General features: G+C 54.4%; 2 protein-coding genes across 13 annotated transcripts, besides 6 other annotated features; both read right to left on the bottom strand.

Moving 5' to 3' along the window:
• Positions 1 to 226: 226 nt before the first annotated feature.
• Positions 227 to 9476, bottom strand: GCAT (glycine C-acetyltransferase). 12 transcript variants are annotated; one of them, NM_001171690.2, is made up of 10 exons: positions 9247 to 9476; positions 7253 to 7461; positions 4422 to 4523; positions 3801 to 3947; positions 2130 to 2284; positions 1910 to 1992; positions 1576 to 1747; positions 1089 to 1210; positions 685 to 843; positions 227 to 481 (listed from the first exon to the last, which is right to left on the bottom strand). In NM_001171690.2, the coding sequence occupies exons 1-9, from the start codon at positions 9440 to 9442 to the stop codon at positions 692 to 694; spliced, it is 1338 nt and encodes a 445-aa protein (NP_001165161.1). In that variant the 5' UTR covers positions 9443 to 9476; the 3' UTR covers positions 227 to 481; positions 685 to 691. The 12 variants fall into 12 exon arrangements, with proteins under 12 accessions (NP_001165161.1, XP_016884166.1, XP_016884163.1 ...); XM_017028677.3 differs by having other exon boundaries at positions 7253 to 7383; XM_017028674.3 differs by lacking the exon at positions 227 to 481 and having other exon boundaries at positions 513 to 843; positions 1534 to 1747; positions 3801 to 4133.
• Positions 9372 to 9661: a silencer, noted in NCBI's record as "silent region_13700". NCBI's record gives its function as "represses an Ori minimal core promoter by ATAC-STARR-seq in GM12878 lymphoblastoid cells {active_cell/tissue: GM12878}" and the evidence as "EXISTENCE:reporter gene assay evidence [ECO:0000049][PMID:35858748]".
• Positions 9978 to 12181, bottom strand: H1-0 (H1.0 linker histone). Its single transcript, NM_005318.4, has one exon. It carries the CDS (start codon positions 11863 to 11865, stop codon positions 11281 to 11283), a length of 585 nt encoding a protein of 194 aa, NP_005309.1. The 5' UTR covers positions 11866 to 12181; the 3' UTR covers positions 9978 to 11280.
• Positions 11090 to 11785: an enhancer, noted in NCBI's record as "H3K27ac-H3K4me1 hESC enhancer chr22:38201632-38202327 (GRCh37/hg19 assembly coordinates)". NCBI's record gives its function as "activates a minimal SCP1, AML or CMV promoter by ChIP-STARR-seq in primed H9 embryonic stem cells {active_cell/tissue: H9 hESC(primed)}" and the evidence as "EXISTENCE:reporter gene assay evidence [ECO:0000049][PMID:30033119]".
• Positions 12016 to 12095: a silencer, noted in NCBI's record as "silent region_13699". NCBI's record gives its function as "represses an Ori minimal core promoter by ATAC-STARR-seq in GM12878 lymphoblastoid cells {active_cell/tissue: GM12878}" and the evidence as "EXISTENCE:reporter gene assay evidence [ECO:0000049][PMID:35858748]".
• Positions 13440 to 15336: a transcriptional cis regulatory region, noted in NCBI's record as "candidate enhancer chr22.1789 targeted for multiplex CRISPR interference". NCBI's record gives its function as "positively regulates GCAT gene expression in K562 cells {active_cell/tissue: K562}" and the evidence as "EXISTENCE:mutant phenotype evidence [ECO:0000015][PMID:30612741]".
• Positions 13834 to 14128: an enhancer, noted in NCBI's record as "tiled region #8034; K562 Activating DNase unmatched - State 1:Tss, and HepG2 Activating DNase unmatched - State 1:Tss". NCBI's record gives its function as "activates a minimal TATA promoter and a strong SV40 promoter by Sharpr-MPRA in K562 cells, with weak activation in HepG2 cells {active_cell/tissue: HepG2 | K562}" and the evidence as "EXISTENCE:reporter gene assay evidence [ECO:0000049][PMID:27701403]".
• Positions 14988 to 15037: a silencer, noted in NCBI's record as "silent region_13698". NCBI's record gives its function as "represses an Ori minimal core promoter by ATAC-STARR-seq in GM12878 lymphoblastoid cells {active_cell/tissue: GM12878}" and the evidence as "EXISTENCE:reporter gene assay evidence [ECO:0000049][PMID:35858748]".

The following is a 19973-nucleotide window of genomic DNA, read 5'->3' as shown; positions in this document are numbered from 1 at the left end:
CAGCACAGAAACTACCCGAGACAAACGGTGGACTGGGCCTATCTCCCAAAGGCCTGGGTGCCAGCTTTTTTTTTTTTTTTTTTTTGAGACAGACTTCTGCTCTTGTTGCTCAGGCTGGAGTGCAATGGCATGATCTCGGCTCACCGCAACCTCCACCTCCCGGGTTCAAGCGATTCTCCTGCCTCAGCCTCCTGAGCAGCTGGGATTACAGGCATACGCCACCACGCCTGGCTAATTTCGTATTTTTAGTAGAGACGGGGTTTCTCCATGTTGGTCAGGCTGGTCTCAAACTCCCGACCTCAGGTGATCCGCCTACCTTGGCCTCCCAAAGTGCTGGGATTACAGGCCTGAGCCACCGTGCCCGGCCACTGGGTCCCATCTTAATCTAGGGAAAGAGGTCAGTGGAGATCTGCAGTCCTCAGGCGCCTCCCCTCAGAGCCCTGGCTCCTGCCTGATTCTTCAACCGGCCACAGGACTGGGCCTGCCCAGAGACAATAAAGCAGACCAGAGTGTCACAGCCAATTTTCACACTGTTGTTTCACATTCTCACAGCCCTCAGCACAGGTCACGTCCCAGCCCAGCTCTGGGACTTTGGTTCAGGGCTCAGAGCCTCTGGTCTGGGCTGATCGAAAACCTCCTTTGACCCTGTGGCAGTAGGCGGACCTTGGCTCTTCTCGTCCTTACCCAGAGCTCAGGGCAGTGCCCCGTGCAGTCGCCCCACTTCCACGAAGGCCTCCACGCAGCGGTCAATGTCTTCCTCGCTATGCACTGCTGAGATCTGTACCCGGATCCGGGCCTTGCCCTTGGGGACCACGGGGTAGCTGAACCCGATGACAAAGATGCCTGGGAGGGTAGAAAGCAAGGGCGTGCCAGAACCAACAGGCTTGGGGGCAGAACACAGAGGGCAAGGGAACTGCCCCAGGTCTCAGATTCGGGACTGCCTCATGGCTTGGGGTGTTCAAGCTTAGACAGACAGCTGGCCTAAGAGGCCGCAGCGTGGCTGGGTACGGGGCTGGGTCACAGTCTAGGGGTTTCCCTTTCTCTTCTCTCAGGACCCACCACCAGTTCCCTTGTCTCAGCACCCTTACCTCTCTTCAGCATGTCATCCGCCATGCGAGAGGCCAGCCGGGCATCACCCAGCATCACAGGGCAGATGGGGTGACTGGCTCCCGAGATAGTGAAGCCAGCAGCTTCCATCTTACTACGGAACCTGTGGGCACAAGGTGTCACAGGTAGCTAAGGGGCCGTGGAGCATTCACACCCGCTCCTTGCAGGGACCAGGCCCGAGGTCTATGCCCAAGTCTGCAAGAAGGATCAACAAAGACAGTTACAAGCTCTAAGAGGCAGAGGGGAGCCAGGCAGGGGGCAGGGAGAACAACAAGGGAGGTGGAAAGACAGGAGGGATAAGAAGGAGACACAGAAGCTAGAGGGGAGAGGCAGGGACAGAGAGAAGGGAGGGGAACAGGCAGAAGCAGACCCGGTGGGCACAGAGCTGTCTGTGGGCCTGGGCAGACACATGAGGCTGGCTCTCACCACGTCTCTCCGCCCCCGAGCCTGCCCTGCTGGGAGTCGCACCTCTGGGTCTTGGCAGCCATAGACTGGACAATGGTGTTACTCCCCATCAGCAGATCTAGGGCCTTGGAGGCGCAGCCAACGACAGCAGGTGGCAGACTGTTGGAGAAGAGGTATGGCCGGGCGCGCTGCCGCAGCAGGGACACCAGGGGCCCAGGCCCTGTCGTGTAGCCCCCTGAGAAGAAGGGAAGAGGTGGGGGGAGGGGTTGGTCAGGGGCCAGAGCCTACCCAACCCCCTCCTGAAAGTACAGTCCATGCTGCCCTCCCCACTTCCCTGAGCCCCTCCAGGGCCCTTCAAAAGGACAAGGGGACCCCAGGGACACAACCTTGCAGGTACCTGATGCTCCACCCAGGGCCTTCCCCAGGGTGGAGTTGATGATGGTGACCTGGTCCATCACACCCAGCAGCTCATCTGTGCCCCTGCAAGGGAAGCCACCGCTGCTGTCACTGGCCTCCTGAGAGCCCAGGGATTATGGATCATGCTGGGGACTGGCCTCCTCGTTTCCCAGCCACCCTCAGAAGCCCCACCCCAGGCCTCAGGTGCCACATGGTCCCACCGTCCTGTGGGCCCCAGGAAGCCAGTGGCATGGCATTCATCCATGAAGACCAGGGCACCATATCTAGAGGCGAGGCAGCAGATCTCCTGCAGGGGTGCGATGTCGCCATCCATGGAAAAGGCCCCATCAGTGGCCACCAGGCGCAGCCGATGCTTCTGCAGGAAAGACATGAGCAGATGGTGGGTGGTGTCAAGTTGGGCCAAACCACCCGTCTCTTGTGCTGCTTGGAGCTCTGAGAGCTCATCCTGCCCAGTGCCCAGCACAGAGGTGGGCACAGAGGTACCACCATCTTGGGGGCTGGAACATCCTCTCCCTCATCTGTGCCTCTCAGCGTCACCCATCTCCACCCTGAGCTCTGGACAGTGAGAATGGGCTCACATCTCAGTCTCCTGTGTAAGGTCCCAGAGGGCAGGCTAGGCTGGGACCAGGTCTCACCAACATGTACATTCTATCCTTATGCCTAGCAAGGGCCTGCCACACAGAAGGTGCTTGCTAATACTCAAGGCAGGCCGGGCACAGTGGCTCACACCTGTAATCCCAGGACTTTGGGAGCTTACGGGTTCGAGACCCACCTGGGCAACATAGTGAGACCCTGTCTCTACTAAAAATTTTAAAAACTGGCTGGGTATGGTGGCTCATGCCTGTAACTTTGGGAGCCCAGGAGTTCAAGACTAGCCTGAGCATTATAGTGAGACCCTGTCTCAAAAACAAACAAACAGGCTGGGTGCGGTGGCTCATGCCTGTAATCCCAACACTTTGGGAGGCTGAGACAGGTAGATCACCTGAGGTCAGGAGTTCGAAACCAGCCTGGCCAACATGGCTAAACCCCATCTCTACTAAAAATAGAAAATTAGCTGAGCACGGTGGTGTGTGCCTGTAATCCCAGCTACTCCAGAGGCTGAGGCAGGAGAATCAATTGAACCTGGGAGGCAGAGGTTTCAGTGAGCTGAGATCACGCCATTGCACTCCAGCCTGGGCAAAAAGAGTGAAATTCCATCTAAAAAACAAATAAATAAAAAACTGGGTGTGGTGGGCACCGGTAGTCCCAGCTACTCAGGAGACTGAGGTGGGAGGATCGCTCGAGTCCAGAAGATTGAGGCTGCAGTGAGCTATGACTGCACCATTGCAATACAGCCTGGGCAACAGAGTGAGACTGTCACACATACACAGGGAAAAACCTCAAGGCACCATGGCACAATGGAATAATGCTCTGGTGCCAGGCACAGTGGCTCACGTCTATAATCCCAGCACTTTGGGAGGCCTAGGTGGGTGAAATCAACTGAGGTCAGGAGTTCGAGACCAGCCTGGACAACATGATGAAACCCCGTCTTTACTAAAAATACAAAAATTAGCCAGGTGGGGTGGCGGATGCCTGTAATCCCAGCTACTTGGGAGGCTGAGGCAGGAGAATCACTTGAACCCAGGAGGTGGAGGTTGCAGTGAGCCGAGATCACACCACTATACTCCAGCCTTGGCGACAGAGTGAAACTCTGTCTCAGGGAAAAAAAAAAAAGAATAATGCTCTGGGTGTGAGGGATCTGGGTTCACATCTTGGACAAATCTCTGCTGTTTCAAACTTTCAGGCTATCTCTGTGAGTGAGGAGTTGGCCTCTCTAAGCCTCACTTCCTTCCCCAGGCGGAGGCTGAGGGTGGACCCAGGCGTCGCCCCACCTGGGCCTCCTGCAGCTTGGCTTCTAGGTCGGCCATGTCCAGGTGGCGATAGCGGTACTTGTGGGCCTTGCACAGCCGGATGCCGTCGATGATGGAGGCATGGTTCAGCTCGTCCGACAGGACTGCGTCCTCTGGGGTCAGCAGGGCCTGGAGGGAGGCAGTGAGCGTAGAGCCATCATTTAACCACCCTGGGCTTCTCCCTTGACCGGGACTCCAGCAAATCAAAAAACTGTACTGCCAGCCAGGGCGCTCCTCTGGGTAGAGAGGCAAGGTGTTCTGTGCTTCTCTCTGGGGCCCCCGTGTCTCAGTGCCGGGCTGGACCAGCGCCCTGCTCTAGTAAGAGGAGGTGAGAATATATTTGGTGAGTACCAGGCCCCCGCCTCCCCCAGCCTTCCAGCTGATGTAGCTTATCCCCCAAAGGCTCTGGAACTCAGGCTCCCTGCAAGCCCCAGGATTCCTCCTGGAGCACCTACCTGGCCCAACCTTGACCTCCAGAAGCGGGCTCTGGAGCCTCTAGGCATGGCACTGAATCCTGCTAGGTTCTCCCGACTGCCCACACCCAAGCCTTCCTCAGCCTAACAGGCCCCACCAACCCTCACCCGCAGGACAGCTTCCACACACCTCAAAGAGGCCGGCGTTGGCGTCATAACAGCTGGGATAGAGGATGGCATCCTCCCGCTGGTGGAAGCGGGCTATTTTTGCTTCTAGATTCTTGTGGATGCTCTGAAGAAAATGAGTGAGACACGTGTTGATGCCTGTGGGGTCATGTGGGACAAGTTCGAGGGGACAGAGGCTTGGAGGACCACAGAGACCCAACCCAGAAAGCCTGCAGCCTCAGTCTCCTTACTTTCTGCCACACATGGGCTATCCCAGAGCTGCCAGGAATCTGACAGACAGTTCCCACTGAGGAACTGGGGACCTGTTAGGTTCCCTCCCTGGGCAGACTTTGGTTTTACAGTGGCAGTCTAATGGTGGAATTACGGGCACTCGTGGAGAAGAAAGATGTGTCTTCCTAACACCATACTGAGTGTCTTTTTTGGTCGCCTAATGGTGAAGAAAAAGATCACAGAGGTAATTCTGGGTTCACCTGGGCCTCTAATTTGTAAATTTGAAAACTGTTGGGTCTGGGTGAGGGCTTTGCTGGGAAGTGACTGGATGCGAGTCAGGAGTTCTGCCTCTGACATTCATTTCACTCTCACCTTTCTGAGAGGGCAGTTAATGATAATCACAAGTAGTCAGGAGCACAGACTCTTTCTTTTTTTTGGCAAATGAGACAGGGATTCTCTGTCACTCAGGCTGGAGTGCAGTAGTGAGACCATAGCTTACTGTAGCCTTGAACTCCTGGGCTCAAGTGATCCTCCCAACTCAGCCTCCCCTCCCTAGTAGCTGGGACTACAGGTGCGCACCACCACACCCAGCTAATTAAAAACATTTTTTTTTTTTTAGAGAGAGGGTCTTGCTATGTTGCCCAGGCTGGTCTCAAACTCCAGGCATCAAGTGATCCTTCTGCTTTGGGCTCCAAAAGTATTGGGATTACAGGTGTGAACTACCATGCCCAGCCAGCATGGACTCTTGAGCCAGGGTTCAAATCCCACAACAGGCTGTGTGCCTCTGGGCAAGTCACTTAACCTCTCTGGATCTCAGTGTCCTCATCTCAATAGCGGGAATAAGAATAGCAACTATCACTTAGGATTAATGAGTTAATACTTGTAATGTTCTTTTTTTTTTTTTTTTGAGACAGAGTTTCCCTCTGTCACCCAGGCTGGAGTGTGGTCGCACCGTCGTGGCTCACTGCAACCCCTGCCTCATGGGTTCAAGCGAGCCCGGCCAGCTAATTTTTGTATTTTTAGCACAGACAGGGTTTCACCATGTTGGCCAGGCTGGTCTTGAACTCAGTAATCCACCCACCTCGGCCTCCCAAAGTGCCTGGATTACAGGCATAAGCCACCACGCCTGGCCAATAGTTGTAATTTTCTTAAAAGAATTCCTGGCACATAATAAGTACTATTTAAGTTTCATACTTATATAAATTTATTTTGTAACATTTGGAAAATAAATAATAGCCAACATTCATTGAGCAGTACTATGTGCCAGGCTGTTCTATGCTTTTTTTTTTTTTTTTTTTTTTTGAGACAGAGTCTCACTCTGTTGCTCAGGCTGGAGTGCAGTGGCGTGATCTCAGCTCACTGCAACCTCCACCTCCTAGGTTCAAGCGATTCTCCTGCCTCAGCCTCCCAAGTGGCTGCGATTACAGGCACCCACCATCATGCCAGCTAATTTTTATATTTTTGTAGAGAAAGGGTTTCGCCATGTTGGCCAGGCTGGTCTTGAACTCCTGACCTCAGGTGATCCGCCTGCATCAGCCTCCCAAAGTGCTGGGATTACAGGCATGAGCCACTGCGCCCGGCCTATTCTAAGCATTACATGTATTAAGTCTTTAATTTGTAATGATCCTATTAAGTGCTATTATCTTCATTTTCCCTATGAAGTAATTGAGACAGAGAAAAGTTAAGATACTTGCCCACAGGAACAGGGACACTAAAGGGCAGCACTGGCAACTGTGCTCCCGTCAGAACAGCCCCAGAGCCCTTAGTCTCAGTTCCTGCCGCCTACTCCTCTTTTCTTATAGAAGGTCAGGTGTGAGGGACTCTGTTTTGCAGGTGGGAAAATGAATGCTCAAAAAGGCAGTTTCCACTTTGGAAGGCCAAGGTGGAGGAGATCACTTGAGGCCAGGAGTTCAAGACCAGCCTGGCCAACATGGTGAAACCCCATCTCTACTAAACATATAAAAATTAGGCCGAGTGCGGTGGCTCACGCCTGTAATCCCAGCACTTTGGGAGGCCAAGGTGGGTGGATCACGAGGTCAGGAGATCGAGACCATCCTGGCTAACACAGTGAAACCCCGTCTCTACTAAAAATACAAAAAATTAGCCGGGAGTGGTGGTAGGCGCCTGTAGTCCCAGCTACTCGGGAGGTTGAGGCAGGAGAATGGCGTGAACCTGGGAGGCGCAGCTTGCAGTAGCCAAGATCATGCCACCGCACTCCAGCCTCAGCGACAGAGCGAGACTCCATCTCAAAAAAAAAAAAAAAAAAAAAATTAGCTGGGTGTGGTAGCATGCCTGTAATCGCAGCTACTCAGGAGGCTGAGGCATGGAGAATCCCTTGAGTCTGGTAGGCGAAGGTTACAGGGAGCCAAGATTGTGCCACTGCACTCCAGCCTGGGTGACAGAGCAAGACTCTGTCTCAAAAAGAAAAAATATATATATAAAGTTCCTTGGCCAAAGCTTTTCAGCAAAACAGAGGCCTGCACTCAGCCTTTCTGCTGCACAGCTCTGAGGCCAACAGTAGGCCCAGGGCTGTGGCTGAGCTGAGCTGGCTAAACCAGCCTTGCTGACTGTGGGAAGCAGGCAGCTGGGGTCAGTCCCCACAACCCCCCACCACTCACTGTGTACCTGGGTTCCACAGATAAAGCGGACAGAGCTGAGGCCAGCTCCAAACTCCTCCAGAGCCTGCAGACCTGCCTGGATCACCTCAGGGTGGCTGCTCAGGCCCAGGTAGTTGTTGGCACAGAAGTTAAGGATTCCTGAGGTGAAGGAGAGGAGATGGATACAGCAGCTCAGGTGGGGCAAGGGCAGGCCTGGAAAGATGACAGTGCCAGGCCCTGGGGAAATGGTCCAGAAAGGAAACAGACCTGGAGTCACCATTGAGGAGGCACCAAATTCAACAGCTACAGAAGGAGCGTCAGTGCTACACATCTTGAAGAGCAAGAAGTTTAAACTTTTTTTTTTTTGAGACAGGGTCTAGCTCTGTCGCCCAGGTTGGAGTACAGTGGTGCAATCATGGTTCACTGTAGCCCCAACCTCCCAGGCTCAAGCAATCCTCCCACTTAACCTCCTGAGTAGCTGGGACTACAGGTGCGTGCCACCATGCCCGATTAAATTTTTTTATTTTTTGTAGAGATGGGGTCTCATTATGTTGTCCGTGCTGGTCTCGAACTCCTAGCCTCAAGCAATCCTCCTGCCTTGGCCTCCCAAAGTGCTACGATTTCAGGCACAAGCCACTGTGCCCAGCCTAAACTCTGGCTTTGAATCACATTCTACCCAAGGAGGAACTCAGCCCTTCCTCACAGGCTTCTCCTGTGCCTGAAGACCACCACTGACTCCTTATCTGACCCCTTGGTTTCCTTGAGGGTTAAAGAAGAGGGCTGGATCAGACGCCTGCTGCAGTCCTGGAACTCCACAGTTTACTTTGCTGCCAGAATCACACCCCCAAAGGTAGGTGCCTGAGATACCAGTCCCCGAATTCTAAAGCCCAGAGTGAACACAGCTGACCTTAGGAGCAAACAGCCAGAGGGGAAAGTTCACACAGCCTGGGAAAGGCAAAAACAGGATGAGAACTTGGGTCTCCTAATTTCCCATCTTTTGACCGGCTCTAAGCTTCCCCTGAGGGAGAGAAGGGATTACCTGGGACCTCTGTTTTACAAATGAGTGCAACAGCACCAAGGGTTCTATGCCTATTTCCTGGGCAGAAGGCAGCTTTGGGAGCTTGTTGATGATTACCACTCACCTGAGGCCTGACACGAATAAGTCAGGTGTAACCACTGGTTAGAGTGAAATGAGGGAGGGCTGGGAGTGGTGGCTCACGCCTGTAATCCCAACACTTTGGGAGGCTGAGGCGGGAGGATCACTTGAGGTCAGGAGTTCGAGACCAGCCTGGCCAACATGGTGAAACCCAGTCTCCACTAAAAATACAAAAATTAGCCGGGTGTGCTGGCACGTGCCTGTAGTCCCAGCTACTTGGGAGGCTGAGGCATGAAAATCGCTTGAACCCGGGAGGCAGAGGTTGCAGTGAACCGAGATCTCGCCACTGCACTCCAGCCTGGGCGACAGAGCAAGACGAGACTCCATCTCAGAAAAAAAAAAGGAAAGAAAGAAATGAGGGAGACCTGGCAGGGCCAACTCATCATGTGATTTCTGTGGCAGCCCTGGGACCCCTTGCTTGCTATGAGTTTACCCAGCAAGCTGTCCTCTCTGGCCAGTCAGGCAATGTTCCAGCTCCAATATTCCAGCGCTGCCTGCAGCTAGCTGGGGGCTTTTGGGCAAGCCATTTCACATCTGTGGATTTCAGCCTCTTCGTTTGTAAAGTGGAATTAGTCATTCCTGCGTCTAGAAGTTAGCAGGAGTTCACGTGCAGCAACAATTGGTAGAGACCTTCACAAAGGAGCCGCTCAAGAAATGCGGGTTTTCTTGCTGGGCAAATCGCCTCCCTCCGTCAAAAGGGTTTAACCAGGCAAGAGTCAATATTAGGAAGCCATAAAGTCGCCCTGAGAGATGCGAAGGGGAACAGTAGCTAAGAGTGTAGGAGCCGCCCACCCCCACCTCCAGGACCTCCATTCCAGCGCAAGCTCGGGAAAGGTCTTGGAACGACTCCCGGAACGGAGCGTTACCTCCGGAGACGCCGTCCACGCGGATGTGCGGCCCCTGACGGGACGTGATGACCCGCTCACTCTTCCAAGTGCCAGCTCCGCGGATGCCTTCCAGCTCCCCCTCCAGAATGCCACGCAGCTGGGCCAGCGCTGACTGTGCGCGGCGGCCGCGGGGCACCCAGAAGAGTGCGGCGCGCCAGGCGTTCCCAGGCCACATCGCTCCTACCTCGCCCGAGCGCGCCTGCCTGCCTGGGAGCCGTGCGCATCGCGGACGCAGCCTGGTCGCGTGGCCGGGGGCCGGGCTCCAGCAGCCAATCGGAGCTAGGGGGGCTCGCTTAAAAAGGCGGGGAGGCGGGCCTAGGACGGGTGGGCGGGGCCTGGCGGGATCCGCCAGGGACCGAGAGGCTTGACTTGTAAGTTGAGACTGCCGAAGTCCGGATGGCAGAGGGGAGGGAAGGGGGCGGAGGAAGTCGCGTCAGGGCCAAGCCCACCAGACTCCCCACCGCATTCCCACGTACTCACCTCTCGGCCGGAAATGGGGTACCCTCTGGACCCCAAAGGCAGAAGCCTAGAAGCCGGCTAAGGCACGTTCCGCAGCCTCCGGGACTAAGGATTCCTGGCTTCTGTCCAGCTCCTGAACCCTCCCCCGCCATTCTCAGGTGCAAACGCCCCAGATGTCCCCACTGCCTGCCCGCCTAACCGCTCCGCATTCATTCTCCAGTCTTCAAAGTGAGGAAAAATACACCGCTCAGTTTCTCCCTTTTCCAATTTATTTTAAAGTTTTAAAATTACAAAGACAGCAAAATTTTCCCGGCACAAGTAACACTTGTTTAAAAAAGGGGGTGGGGGGGGGACGCGCAAGTGCGCGATTTTTCTATTTTATTAAAAATAAGAGAAAGACAACTGTACAGGTTTTTTCTCCCAGCTCCCGGGTGTGAAACTAAGTACTAGCCCTAGATATGTATATATACACAAACACACACATGCACACAGATCTAGCTCTGTAAAACTACTTAGCAAATCCCAAATCGACTGCAGTAAGTCTTACTATCCACTGCCCGCCCACTCCCCCTCCCCCTCCCGCAGCTACAACTACTTATAATAAAGGACTCAAAAAGAGATCGGGAGGTTTTAAGTGGCCGCAGCCCCACCAAACCAAGCAAAGACACCTCTTGTACAGGAGGAACAAAAATCCAGAGGAAAAGAAAAGTCTTCCTAGGACACAATCCATCGATTGCGTGGAAAAACCTAAGTTTCAACAGGGCACACTGAGGCACTTGGCTGACTCCCCACCCTTCCCCTGAAGTTTTCACTCCGGTTTAACAAGAGAATTTGCTGAAGCCACAAAGATCCCCCAATGGCTACATCCTAGCTGACTGGGAGAAACTATGGCTTCTCCCATCCAGCTGTCACTTGGACCCCACTCCCCTTCCCTAAGAAAATAGGGAGGCCGAAAGCGCAAACTAACAAAAATGAGAAGGAAACTGGGTTTGGGCCCCCACTGCTCACCACTGGGAGGTGGAAGTCAGCCCGGTGGCGGTTTTTTTCCCCCTCCTTCCTTTGCCGGCTGGCTGCTCCCTACCACCTCTCTCCTGCTGGCCAAAGGTTCTGAAACTCTCACAACGGGTGCCCAACTCAAAGAAAACTCACTCACCCTAAAGATATTCCTGCTAACCTCACAATTCCTGGGTTCCCTCTCATCTAGCCAGAACAAACTGCCTTGTGTCTTCTCCCCACCCACATCTACCTTCATGGCAAACAAGCCAACAAAACACACAAGCCCCCCCCGCAAATCCCTAACCCCGTAAGTAGGTTAATAGCAAAACAAAATATAAGTACATTCTCATCATTAGATTGGTTGTTGCTGTCCTTGCACAACTGGTTAAGGAAAAATGAATTATTCTGTAATTTCTGAAGAATCCAAATCCTGTCTCTTATAAAGTCAGAACAGAAGGGGGCAAAAGGTGGTGGTGAGCATCAAGAGAGAAAAAAGGAGAAAATTATTTACAGAAAATAGGAGACAGGAGGGAGTGTCCGCAAGAAAAGACTTCATTGTCACTTCTTCTTGCCGGCCCTCTTGGCACTGGACTTTGCTTTGGGTTTCACTGGTTTGGCCTTTTTGGGCTTGGATGCCTTGACCGGCTTGGCTTTGACAGTCTTGGGTTTTTTGGCTTTCTTGGGCGTGGCAGCCAGCTTCTTCTTGGCCTTCTTGACCGGGGTGGCTTTGGGTTTCTTGGTTGGGGCTTTGGAGGCAGCCTTCTTGGGCTTGGATGCCTTCTTTGGCGTGGCTACCTTCTTGATTTCCTTCTTGGTCTTCTTGAAGGCCACTGACTTCTTGGGTTCGTCGCTCTTGGCTAGCCGGAAGGACCCCGAGGCCCCCACCCCTTTGGTCTGCTTGAGGACACCGGTGGTGACCAGGCGCTTGATGGACAACTTGATCTGCGAGTCAGCGTTCTCACCCACCTTGTAGTGGCTCTTGATATACTTCTGAATGGACTGGCGCGAGGAGCCAGCGCGGTTCTTCTCGGCCTGGATGGCAGCCACGATCATGTCTGAATACTTGGGGTGGTCTGTGGACTTCTTGGAGGCCTTGGCCCGCTTGGGCTTGGCCGCAGGGGCGGACGTGGAATTCTCGGTCATGGTGGCCTGTCTGGTCCGGCTGTTGAAGGCGCCTTCCAAAGGGCCAGCCCTCGTCGGAGGCTGAGCAAAGCCTGCCTCGGGATCTGCTCCTGAGCCCCTGACTACCGGGCCAGTCTGGAGTGCGGCTCCCGGGGATGCGAGCGAGGAGTCGCTGCTTTTCCTCCCCGGCTCGGGTGTCGGGAGAGCTCGCCGAGCCGGCTTTGCGAGGCCCAGCCCCGCCGGTCTGTCGCTTGGTCTCGGCACCGGGCTCGGGCTCTGCCTCTGCCTCTGCCTCTGCCTCCGCCTCCTCTGCCTCCCTTTTCCCAGCTCCGCGTCTGGCGCTTGGGCGGCGCATCCGGGTATTTAGCGGCGGCGGGCGGACCGCGGTGAGGACAGGGCTGCTGGCTGCCTGCTCCCGGCCCGGAATGGCGCTGCGCCGCCGCCATCTGTGTTTCTTCCGCCGAGCAAATCCGACCTTTCCCCCCGGCCCGGGCCTTCCTGCTCCCCGCCGCCGCCCTGGGCCGCTGCCTGGCTCCCTGGGCTTCCCCGCCGGGCGGCCCGCTGGCCCGGCCGCCGCCCCCCGCGCCCGCCACGCACCCCAAACGGCGCCGAGGACCGCTGGTGTGCCGGCACATTTCCCCTTTGCGGGGGGCTGGCTCTGCGGGGCTAGGGAGCCTCGGTGCGGGAAACCCCCCGTAGCAAAGCTCTCCCCTGAGGCTACCGGGGGCTCTGCTCCCGGCCCGCTGCGGGGTCCCCTAGCCCGGTGGAGCTGCCGGAAAGCGGCCCCAACTAACACACGCGGCCCCGAGCTGGGCGACTCCCAGCCGGGCCGAGCCGGGACAGGGGGGAGGGGTCGCTCCCCCGGGGTCCGGTCACCTCTCGGGGGTCACCCCGCCACCGGTCCCTCCACACCTCTACCCCCTCTGTCCATGGGGCCCCCAAGGAAACTTTCCCTGAAAGAGTTGGAAGGGTACTTTCAAACTTTGTCCCTTCCCCCTCCTCTGCCGTCTCTCCCCCAGCGCGCCCCCCGACCTCTGCCTTGAGGTTCCCTCCTGAGGCCGAACCCCCAGTGCTGCCCGGACCCTCTGAGAGATGAGGAGGGCCTCCCGGGTGGCCTCTTCTCCTCAAAGACCCCTACATCTCCCATATACCCTAATCGGGAATTCATTTGTGTGCTTCTCTTAGCCTGGAAGTTTTGGGGTGTCAGAGACAGAACTCGCTGCCCCCCATCCGTGAGGCCCAGCCTGGGGGTTCAGTCCCCGTCCCAAGGCTCCTTGAAGGCAATGTGGGGGCGGGGGAGGGCGGTCCACAATGGAGAAGCTGCCCCAGAAGCTCTAACCAGGGACGGTCCGGGGGGCCCCTGTAATGAGGAGAGGCCCTGAGTGCTTTGGGGACTTGGGAAAGCGGGGCGCTAGGGTAGAGGTCGAGGAGGGGGTTATGTCCCTTGGGTTGTGACCTGTCCTCGGAAAGTGTGGAGTTGTTTAGAGAGCCGTGGCCGCGACCACCGCCATTTTGCTGGGAAGATGCGATGTCTTTGTTAAAATGCACACAGATTTTCCCGTGCTGCTTGGCAGGTGTAGACGAGGCGGACACGGGGCGCCACTGTCTGTAGGGAGTTCTGAAGCTCGAGGGGCTTTAGGGGCCCAGAGGCCAGCAGGAGAGACCTCAGAGACCCTAGGACCCCTTGTCTGCGGCCGACCTCCTACTCACGTGCCGGGTCCGCTTGGCAGCGGCCCTGGGCTGAGATTCTGCGACGTTTGCTCCCTGGGCCCCTCTCCCACAACCCCGCTTTTATTCCCTAAGCATAGAGGCCGGTCACTGTTCACTTAAACAATACCCTGGGAGTGGGAGTTTGTTGCTGGTCAAAATGATGAACGCATCCCGGTATGGTCCAAGAGCTGTTTGCAGACACAGTGGGCTACTGGGGAGGGGTAAAGGGGAGGGGTTCGAGGGTTTTGATGTTGGGGACGGGATCGTAGCTGCGTGGGTGTGGGAGGGCTCCTACTGGACCTGGGAGTCTCTGAAGCCAGGACAAATTAATGGGTTTCCCCCGCACGCCAAGGGATGGATTAATCCAAATGATTAGGGGAGGAAGGGGGAGGGGGAGCGCAAGACTCGGTGTCAGATGCCTTCTCTCTGGGCTTATCTCCGTGGCACAGGCGGGGAAGGGAAGCAATGGGGGGTCAGGTTAGTTCAAAAGGTCAAGGTTCGTCTTTTGATGGTGTCAATTTCTCTTAAGTTTCGTCATTTGAAAACACAACATTCTGGTGGCTTTGTTTTGGTTATTTTCAAAGACAACTCGGGTTCCCATTAAGACCTGGTTGGGTTAATACGCACCCAAATAGCCCCCCCTCCCCGTATCCGAGATGTTCCACCCTGAGAGCCCAGAACCATGTCACCCCATCCCCCGCCCCAGATCCGTGCATGTCTTAAAGACTGGATGAATCCAATGACACGACGATCAATAATTTTATTTGCACAGCGCTTTACAGTTTGCACAGTGCTCCCCACCGGTTTCTGGATCCTTTGCGCCTCCTGCCTTTGATCACTATCCCCATCACCCCTATTTTACCGCGGAGGCCCGGGACTTAGAAGGATGGATTGGGGGCGGGGTACTGTAAGGCTCAGCTCCCTGACACCTGGGCGTTCATTTCATTTTGTATCTCTCCTGTCCCTTCTCCCCGCCCATCCCAGCGACCTGTAAATTCCCGGAACTGAAGCCAGAATTGGGGAAAGGGGTTGCCTCGGGTTGCAGGGGCTTCCAGCTAGTGGACACCCCTTCTCCCGCCAGGCGGCGAGGTTCACCGCCCCTTCCCCTGTTCCGGGGAGTTGGAGGGGAAGGGAGGGGGTTCCCTGGGGCTTGGGCGCAGAGGCCGAAGCCGAGGCGGGCAAGACGAGGAAAGACGGCCTCCAATTGGCTTGGCCTCGCCTCGCCTCGCCTCGCCTCGCCTCCCCTCAGGGACACTGCAGAGCTGGGGGGCTTCTTCACTGCAGCCGGACCCCGCCTGGGCACCCAGGCAGGCGGCTCTCGGGTCCCCACCGGGCGCAGAGCCATCTTCCAGCTGGCGGACTGCGCAACCTCCCCCGCCCCCTTTAACGCGAGGCTCTTGAAACCCCAGGAACGGCGGAACCGCGGCAACTGCTCCTGGGAAATGTAGTCCCCGGCGCCGCGCCCCCTGCCCGCGACCCTCGGCAGCCGTCGCGCCCCCCGGGCGTGAGGAGGGGGTCGGACAGCTGCTGTGCCGTGGCGCGGGGAGGGTCCCCCGCTGTCTCTCTCGGGCCTCAGTTCTTCCACCTGTCGGCTCTACCTGTCTCTGGGGTTAGTGAGAGGGGGAAATGAATTCCTTCATGGAAAAGTATAAATCGCATTAGAATGCCAGGGGTCGTGTCCTTACTAATGGGTGTGTTTGTGCGTGCGCGCGCGTGTGCCTGAGCCCTTGGCACGTGACACCTCCACGTTACAGACAGGAGGCTCCCACCCCCACCCCTATGTTTAATGACTTGCCCAGGGATGATAGACTCTCAAGGCAATGCCCTGTTCACTGCACCACCTGTGGTCTTGTGGCATTCTGGGCTTTGTAATCTTTTTTTTTTTTTTTTTTTTTTTTTGAGATGGCGTCTTGCTCTGTCGCCCAGGCCAGAGTGCAGTGGCGCGATCTCGGCTCACTGCAACCTCTGCCTCCCGGGTTCAAGCAATTCTCTGCCTCAGCCTCCCGAATAGATAGGATTACAGGTGTCCACAACCACGCCCAACTAATTTTTTGTATTTTTAGTAGAGACGGGGTTTCACCATCTTGGCCGGACTGGTCTTGAACTCCTATCCTCGTGATCCACTCGCCTCGGCCTCCCAAAGTGCTGGGATTACAGGCATGAGCCACCGCTCCTGGCTGGTTTTGGAATCCTAATGCATTCCTTAATATGTGCCAGGCACTGGGATGGGCTCTGTGATATGGCCATAAACCAAAGTGACAAGAGAGCCCTGCCCTTGTGGAGCTGAGGTTCCCTGGAAAAGATAGATACACAATAGACTACATAAAGAAGTAAATTAGGCCAGGTGCGGTGGCTCACGCCTGTAATCCCGGCACTTTGGGAGGCCGAAGTGGGTGGATCACCTGAGGTCAGGAGTTTGCGACCAGCCTGGCCAACATGGTGAAACCCTGTCTTTACTGAAAATACAAAAATTAGCCGGGCGTGGTGGGGGGCCCCTGTAATCCTAGCTACTTGGGAGAATGAGGCAGGAGAATCGTTTGAACTAGGGAGGCGGAGGTTGCAATGAGCTGAGACCACGCCATTGCACTCCAGCCTGGGCGACAAGAACAAAACTCCATCTCAAAAAAAAAAAAAAAAGTAAATTATATAGTATGCTGGAAAGTGGCAATTGCAAAGAAACAACTGGAGCAGGGTTGGGGGTGGATATAGGCAGTGTCAAATGGTGGTGGTTTGCAATTGTATTTTTTGTTGTTCGTTGTTGTTTTTTGAGACGGAGTCTCACTCTGTTGCCCAGGCTGGAGTGCAGTGCCGTGATCTCAGTTTGCTGCAATCTCCGCCTCCTGGATTCAAGCGGTTCTCCTGCCTCAGCCTCCTGAGTAGCTGGGGTTACAGGTGTGCGCCACCACGCCCGGCTAACTTTTTTTTTTTTTTTTGAGATGGAGTCTCACTCTGTCACCCAGGCTGGAGTGCAGTGCCGCGATCTCGGTTCACTGCAACCTCTGCCTCCTGGGTTCAGGCAATTCTCATGCCTCAGCCTCCCGAGTAGCTGGGATTAGAGGCTCCCACCACCACGCCCAGCTAATTTTTGTATTTTTAGTGGAACGGGGTTTCACTATGTTGGCCAGGCTGGTCTCAAACTCCTGACCTCAAGTGATCCACCCACCTCAGCCTCCCAAAGTGCTGGGATTACAGGCATGAGCCACCACGCCTGGCCCCTTGTTCTACTTTTTGCTCCCTTCTCACTACTGAACTTGACTAGTCTAAAAAAAAAATGGTTCAGATGAATCCCACTACTCGGTATATATCCAAAAGGAAGGAGATCAGCATATTGAAGAGATATCTGCACTCCCATGGTAATTGCAGCACCATTCACAATAGCCAAAATATGGAGTCAACCCAAGCGCACATCAATGGATGAATGGATGAAGAAAATGTGGTATATAAACAAAGGGAATATTATTCAGCCACCAATAAGAAGGAAATCCTGTCATTTGCAACAACACAGATGGAACTGAAGGTCATCATATTAACTGAAATAAGCCAGGCAGAGAAAGACAAATATTGCATGTTTTCACTCATACATGAACACTAAAAAAGTGGATCTTTGCCAGCCTGGTCACCGTGGTGAAACCCCATCTCTCCTAAAAATACAAAAATTAGCCGGGCGTGGTGCCAGGCGCCTGTAATTCCAGTTACTCAGGAGGCTGAGGCAGAAGAATCACTTGAACCCAGGAGGTGGAGGTTGCGGTGAGCCCAGATTGCGCCATTGCACTCTCCAGCCTGGGCAACAGAGCGAGACTTCATCTCAAAAAAAAAAAAAAAAAAAAGGGGGATCTCGGCCTGGCGCAGTGGCTCACACCTCTAATCCCAACACTTTGGGAGGCCGAGGCGGGAGGATCACCTGAGGTCGGGAGTTCGAGACCAGTCTGACCAACATGGAGAAACCCCGTCTCTACTAAAAATACAAAATTAGCTGGGCGTGGTGGCGCATGCCTGTAATCCCAGCTACTTGGGAGGCTGAGGCAGGAGAATTGCTTGAACCCGGGAGGCGGAGGTTGTGGTGAGCTGAGATCGTGCCATTGCACTCCAGCCTGGGTAACGAGTAAAATTCCGTCTCAAAAAAAAAAAAAAAAAAAGGCTGGGCGTGGTGGCTTACGCCTGTAATCCCAACACTTTGGGAGGCCGAGATGGGCGGATCACGCGGTCAGGAGATGGAGACCATCCTGGCTCACATGGTGAAACCCCGTCTCTACTAAAAAACCCCGACTCAAAAAAAAAAAAAAAAGTGGATCTCACAAAGATGGAGAGTAAATTGGTGGTTACCAGAGGCCAGGAAGGATAGCAAGGAGGGGAGGAAGAAGAGAAGCTGATCAATGGGTACAATATACAGTTAGCTAGAAGAAATAAGACATAGTGTTCCATAGATCAGTAGGGTGACTGCAGTTAACCATAACCCACTGTATACTTCAAAAATAGCTACAGGAGAATAATTTGCATGCTCCCAGCATAAAGAAAAGATAAATGTTTAAGGTGATGGATATCCCAGTTCTTCTAATTTGGTCATTATGCTTTCTATGAATAAGCCGTCTTGTCACCCCTGTCTCAGGTGAGCGGCAACTATCTGAGGCCAGTAGCCCAGGAGTAAGAAGAATTTACCAAGACAGTTATAGGTAAAGAAAGGCACATTTATTAGAGAAGGTATGAAAATATGTTGCAGCCGGGAGTGATGGCTCACGCCTGTAATCCCAGCACTTTGGGAGGCTGAGGCGTACAGATCACCTGAGGTCAGGAGTTCAACACCAGCCTGGCCAACATGGCAAACTCCATCTCTACTAAAAATACAGAAATTAGCCGGGCGTGGTGGCACATGCTTGTAGTCCCATTTACTTGGGAGGCTGAGGCAGGAGAATCCCTTGAGTCTGGGAGGCAGAGATTGCAGTGAGTCAAGATTGCGCCATTGCACTCCAGCCTGGGTGACACGGTGAAAACTTGTCTCAAAAAAAAAAAAAAAATAGAAAAGGCCGGGTACGGTGGCTCACGCCTGTAATCCCAGCACTTTGGGAGGCTGAGGCAGGTGGATCACGAGGTCAGGAGATCAAGACCATCCTGGCTAACACAGTGAAACCCCATCTCTATTAAAAATACAAAAAAATTAGCCGGGAGTGGTGGCACGTACCTGTAGTCCCAGCTACTTGGGAGGCTGAGGCAAGAGAATGGCGTGAACCCGGGAGGCGGAGCTTGCAGTGAGGCGAGATCGCGCCACTGCACTCCAGCCTGGGCGACAGAGCGAGACTCCGTCTCAAAAAACAAAAAAAGAAAGAAAAAAAGAAAAAGAAAATGCGTTGCAAATTTGCAACAGGCAGCACAGCAGAGAAGGGGCTGTCTGCAAGGAGACAGAGGCTTGCTAGGGACGGGACAGGATGGTGCTCGTGCTGTATGCTGGAGAGGGCTTTACGCAGTACTGATAGTGCCGAGGTTGCAGTGAGCTAATTTGCAATTTTCTGTCAGCTGAGCGTCTGGTGATGGCTGGTTGCAGGAAGATTGTGAATTATTTGTGCAGGAGGGCATGTGTTCTGGAGCATGAAGAAAGGCACACTTAGAGCTTACCTGCTTTCGCTTTTTGCTTTCCCTCAATCTCACCAGTTCAACTCCTCCTTCCTAATTAGGACTCCACAACCCCCTCTCATAGCCCCTGTCCTTTCCTTCTTAGCACTTTTCACAAAATCACACTTTACAATGACAGCAGTGCCCATCTTCCCCACTAGAGACTGAGCCCCACGAGGCAAGCACGTGTCTGTTCCTTTCACACCCAGCACCCAGCAAGCAAATAAACAATCTGCACCCGCCTGGGCCTTTCCCACTTCCAAGGGGCTTTGACGTCCACACTTTGAGTCAAGATTCACACTCTGTGAGGACGGGGCAAACGGCAGGTGGAGGCACCCGAGGGGAAAGGAGCAAGGCTTGAGATAGAGGCGGGGGTGGGGGCGAGGGAGAGGCGGGGGGCAGCAGATGGCCCCTCACTCAGGGATGGAGGGGTGGCTGCTCTAGCCTGGGTGCTGGGTCCCCTCCTCTCAGCCCAGTCCTGTGATTCCTCTTAGAAACCTGCCAGAAACAGGGGCTCTCCCCTCCTCCTGTCCAGGCTAGGTGTCACTTAGATTCTCAAAACTGAAAAGTAATCAACATTTGAGGGCCCCAGGAATATAACAGAGAGTACAGTCAATGGGGATTTTTTGTTTTTTTCTTTTTTTTAATTTTAATTTTTGTGGGTATATAATAGATGTATATATGTATGGGATACATGAGATTTTGTTTTGTTTTGTTTTGTTTTTGAGATGGAGTCTTGCTCTGTTGCCCAGGCTAGAGGGCAGTGGCATGATCTCGGCTCACTGCAACCTCTGCCTCCCGGGTCAAGCGATTCT

The sequence above is a fragment of the Homo sapiens genome, chromosome 22, assembly GCF_000001405.40.
Source record: "Homo sapiens chromosome 22, GRCh38.p14 Primary Assembly".
NCBI classification, from domain to species: Eukaryota; Metazoa; Chordata; class Mammalia; order Primates; family Hominidae; genus Homo; species Homo sapiens.
Note: the sequence above shows the minus strand (reverse complement) of the source record. Positions and strands in the feature narration are given on the sequence as shown.

What these genes read in the sequence shown, in the direction of transcription:
- GCAT (XM_017028674.3), bottom strand. Translation starts at nt 9,442, where the DNA reads ATGTGGCCTGGGAACGCCTGGCGCGCCGCACTCTTCTGGGTGCCCCGC. An exon ending in CCAAGCTGCAGGAGGCCCAG is followed by an intron (nt 2,285 to 3,800) that starts GTGGGGCGACGC and finishes TCTTTCCTGCAG; the next exon opens with AAGCATCGGCTGCGCCTGGT. An exon ending in CTCGGGGGCGGAGAGACGTG is followed by an intron (nt 1,211 to 1,533) that starts GTGAGAGCCAGC and finishes TTGTGCCCACAG; the next exon opens with GTTCCGTAGTAAGATGGAAG.
- H1-0 (NM_005318.4), bottom strand. Translation starts at nt 11,865, where the DNA reads ATGACCGAGAATTCCACGTCCGCCCCTGCGGCCAAGCCCAAGCGGGCC.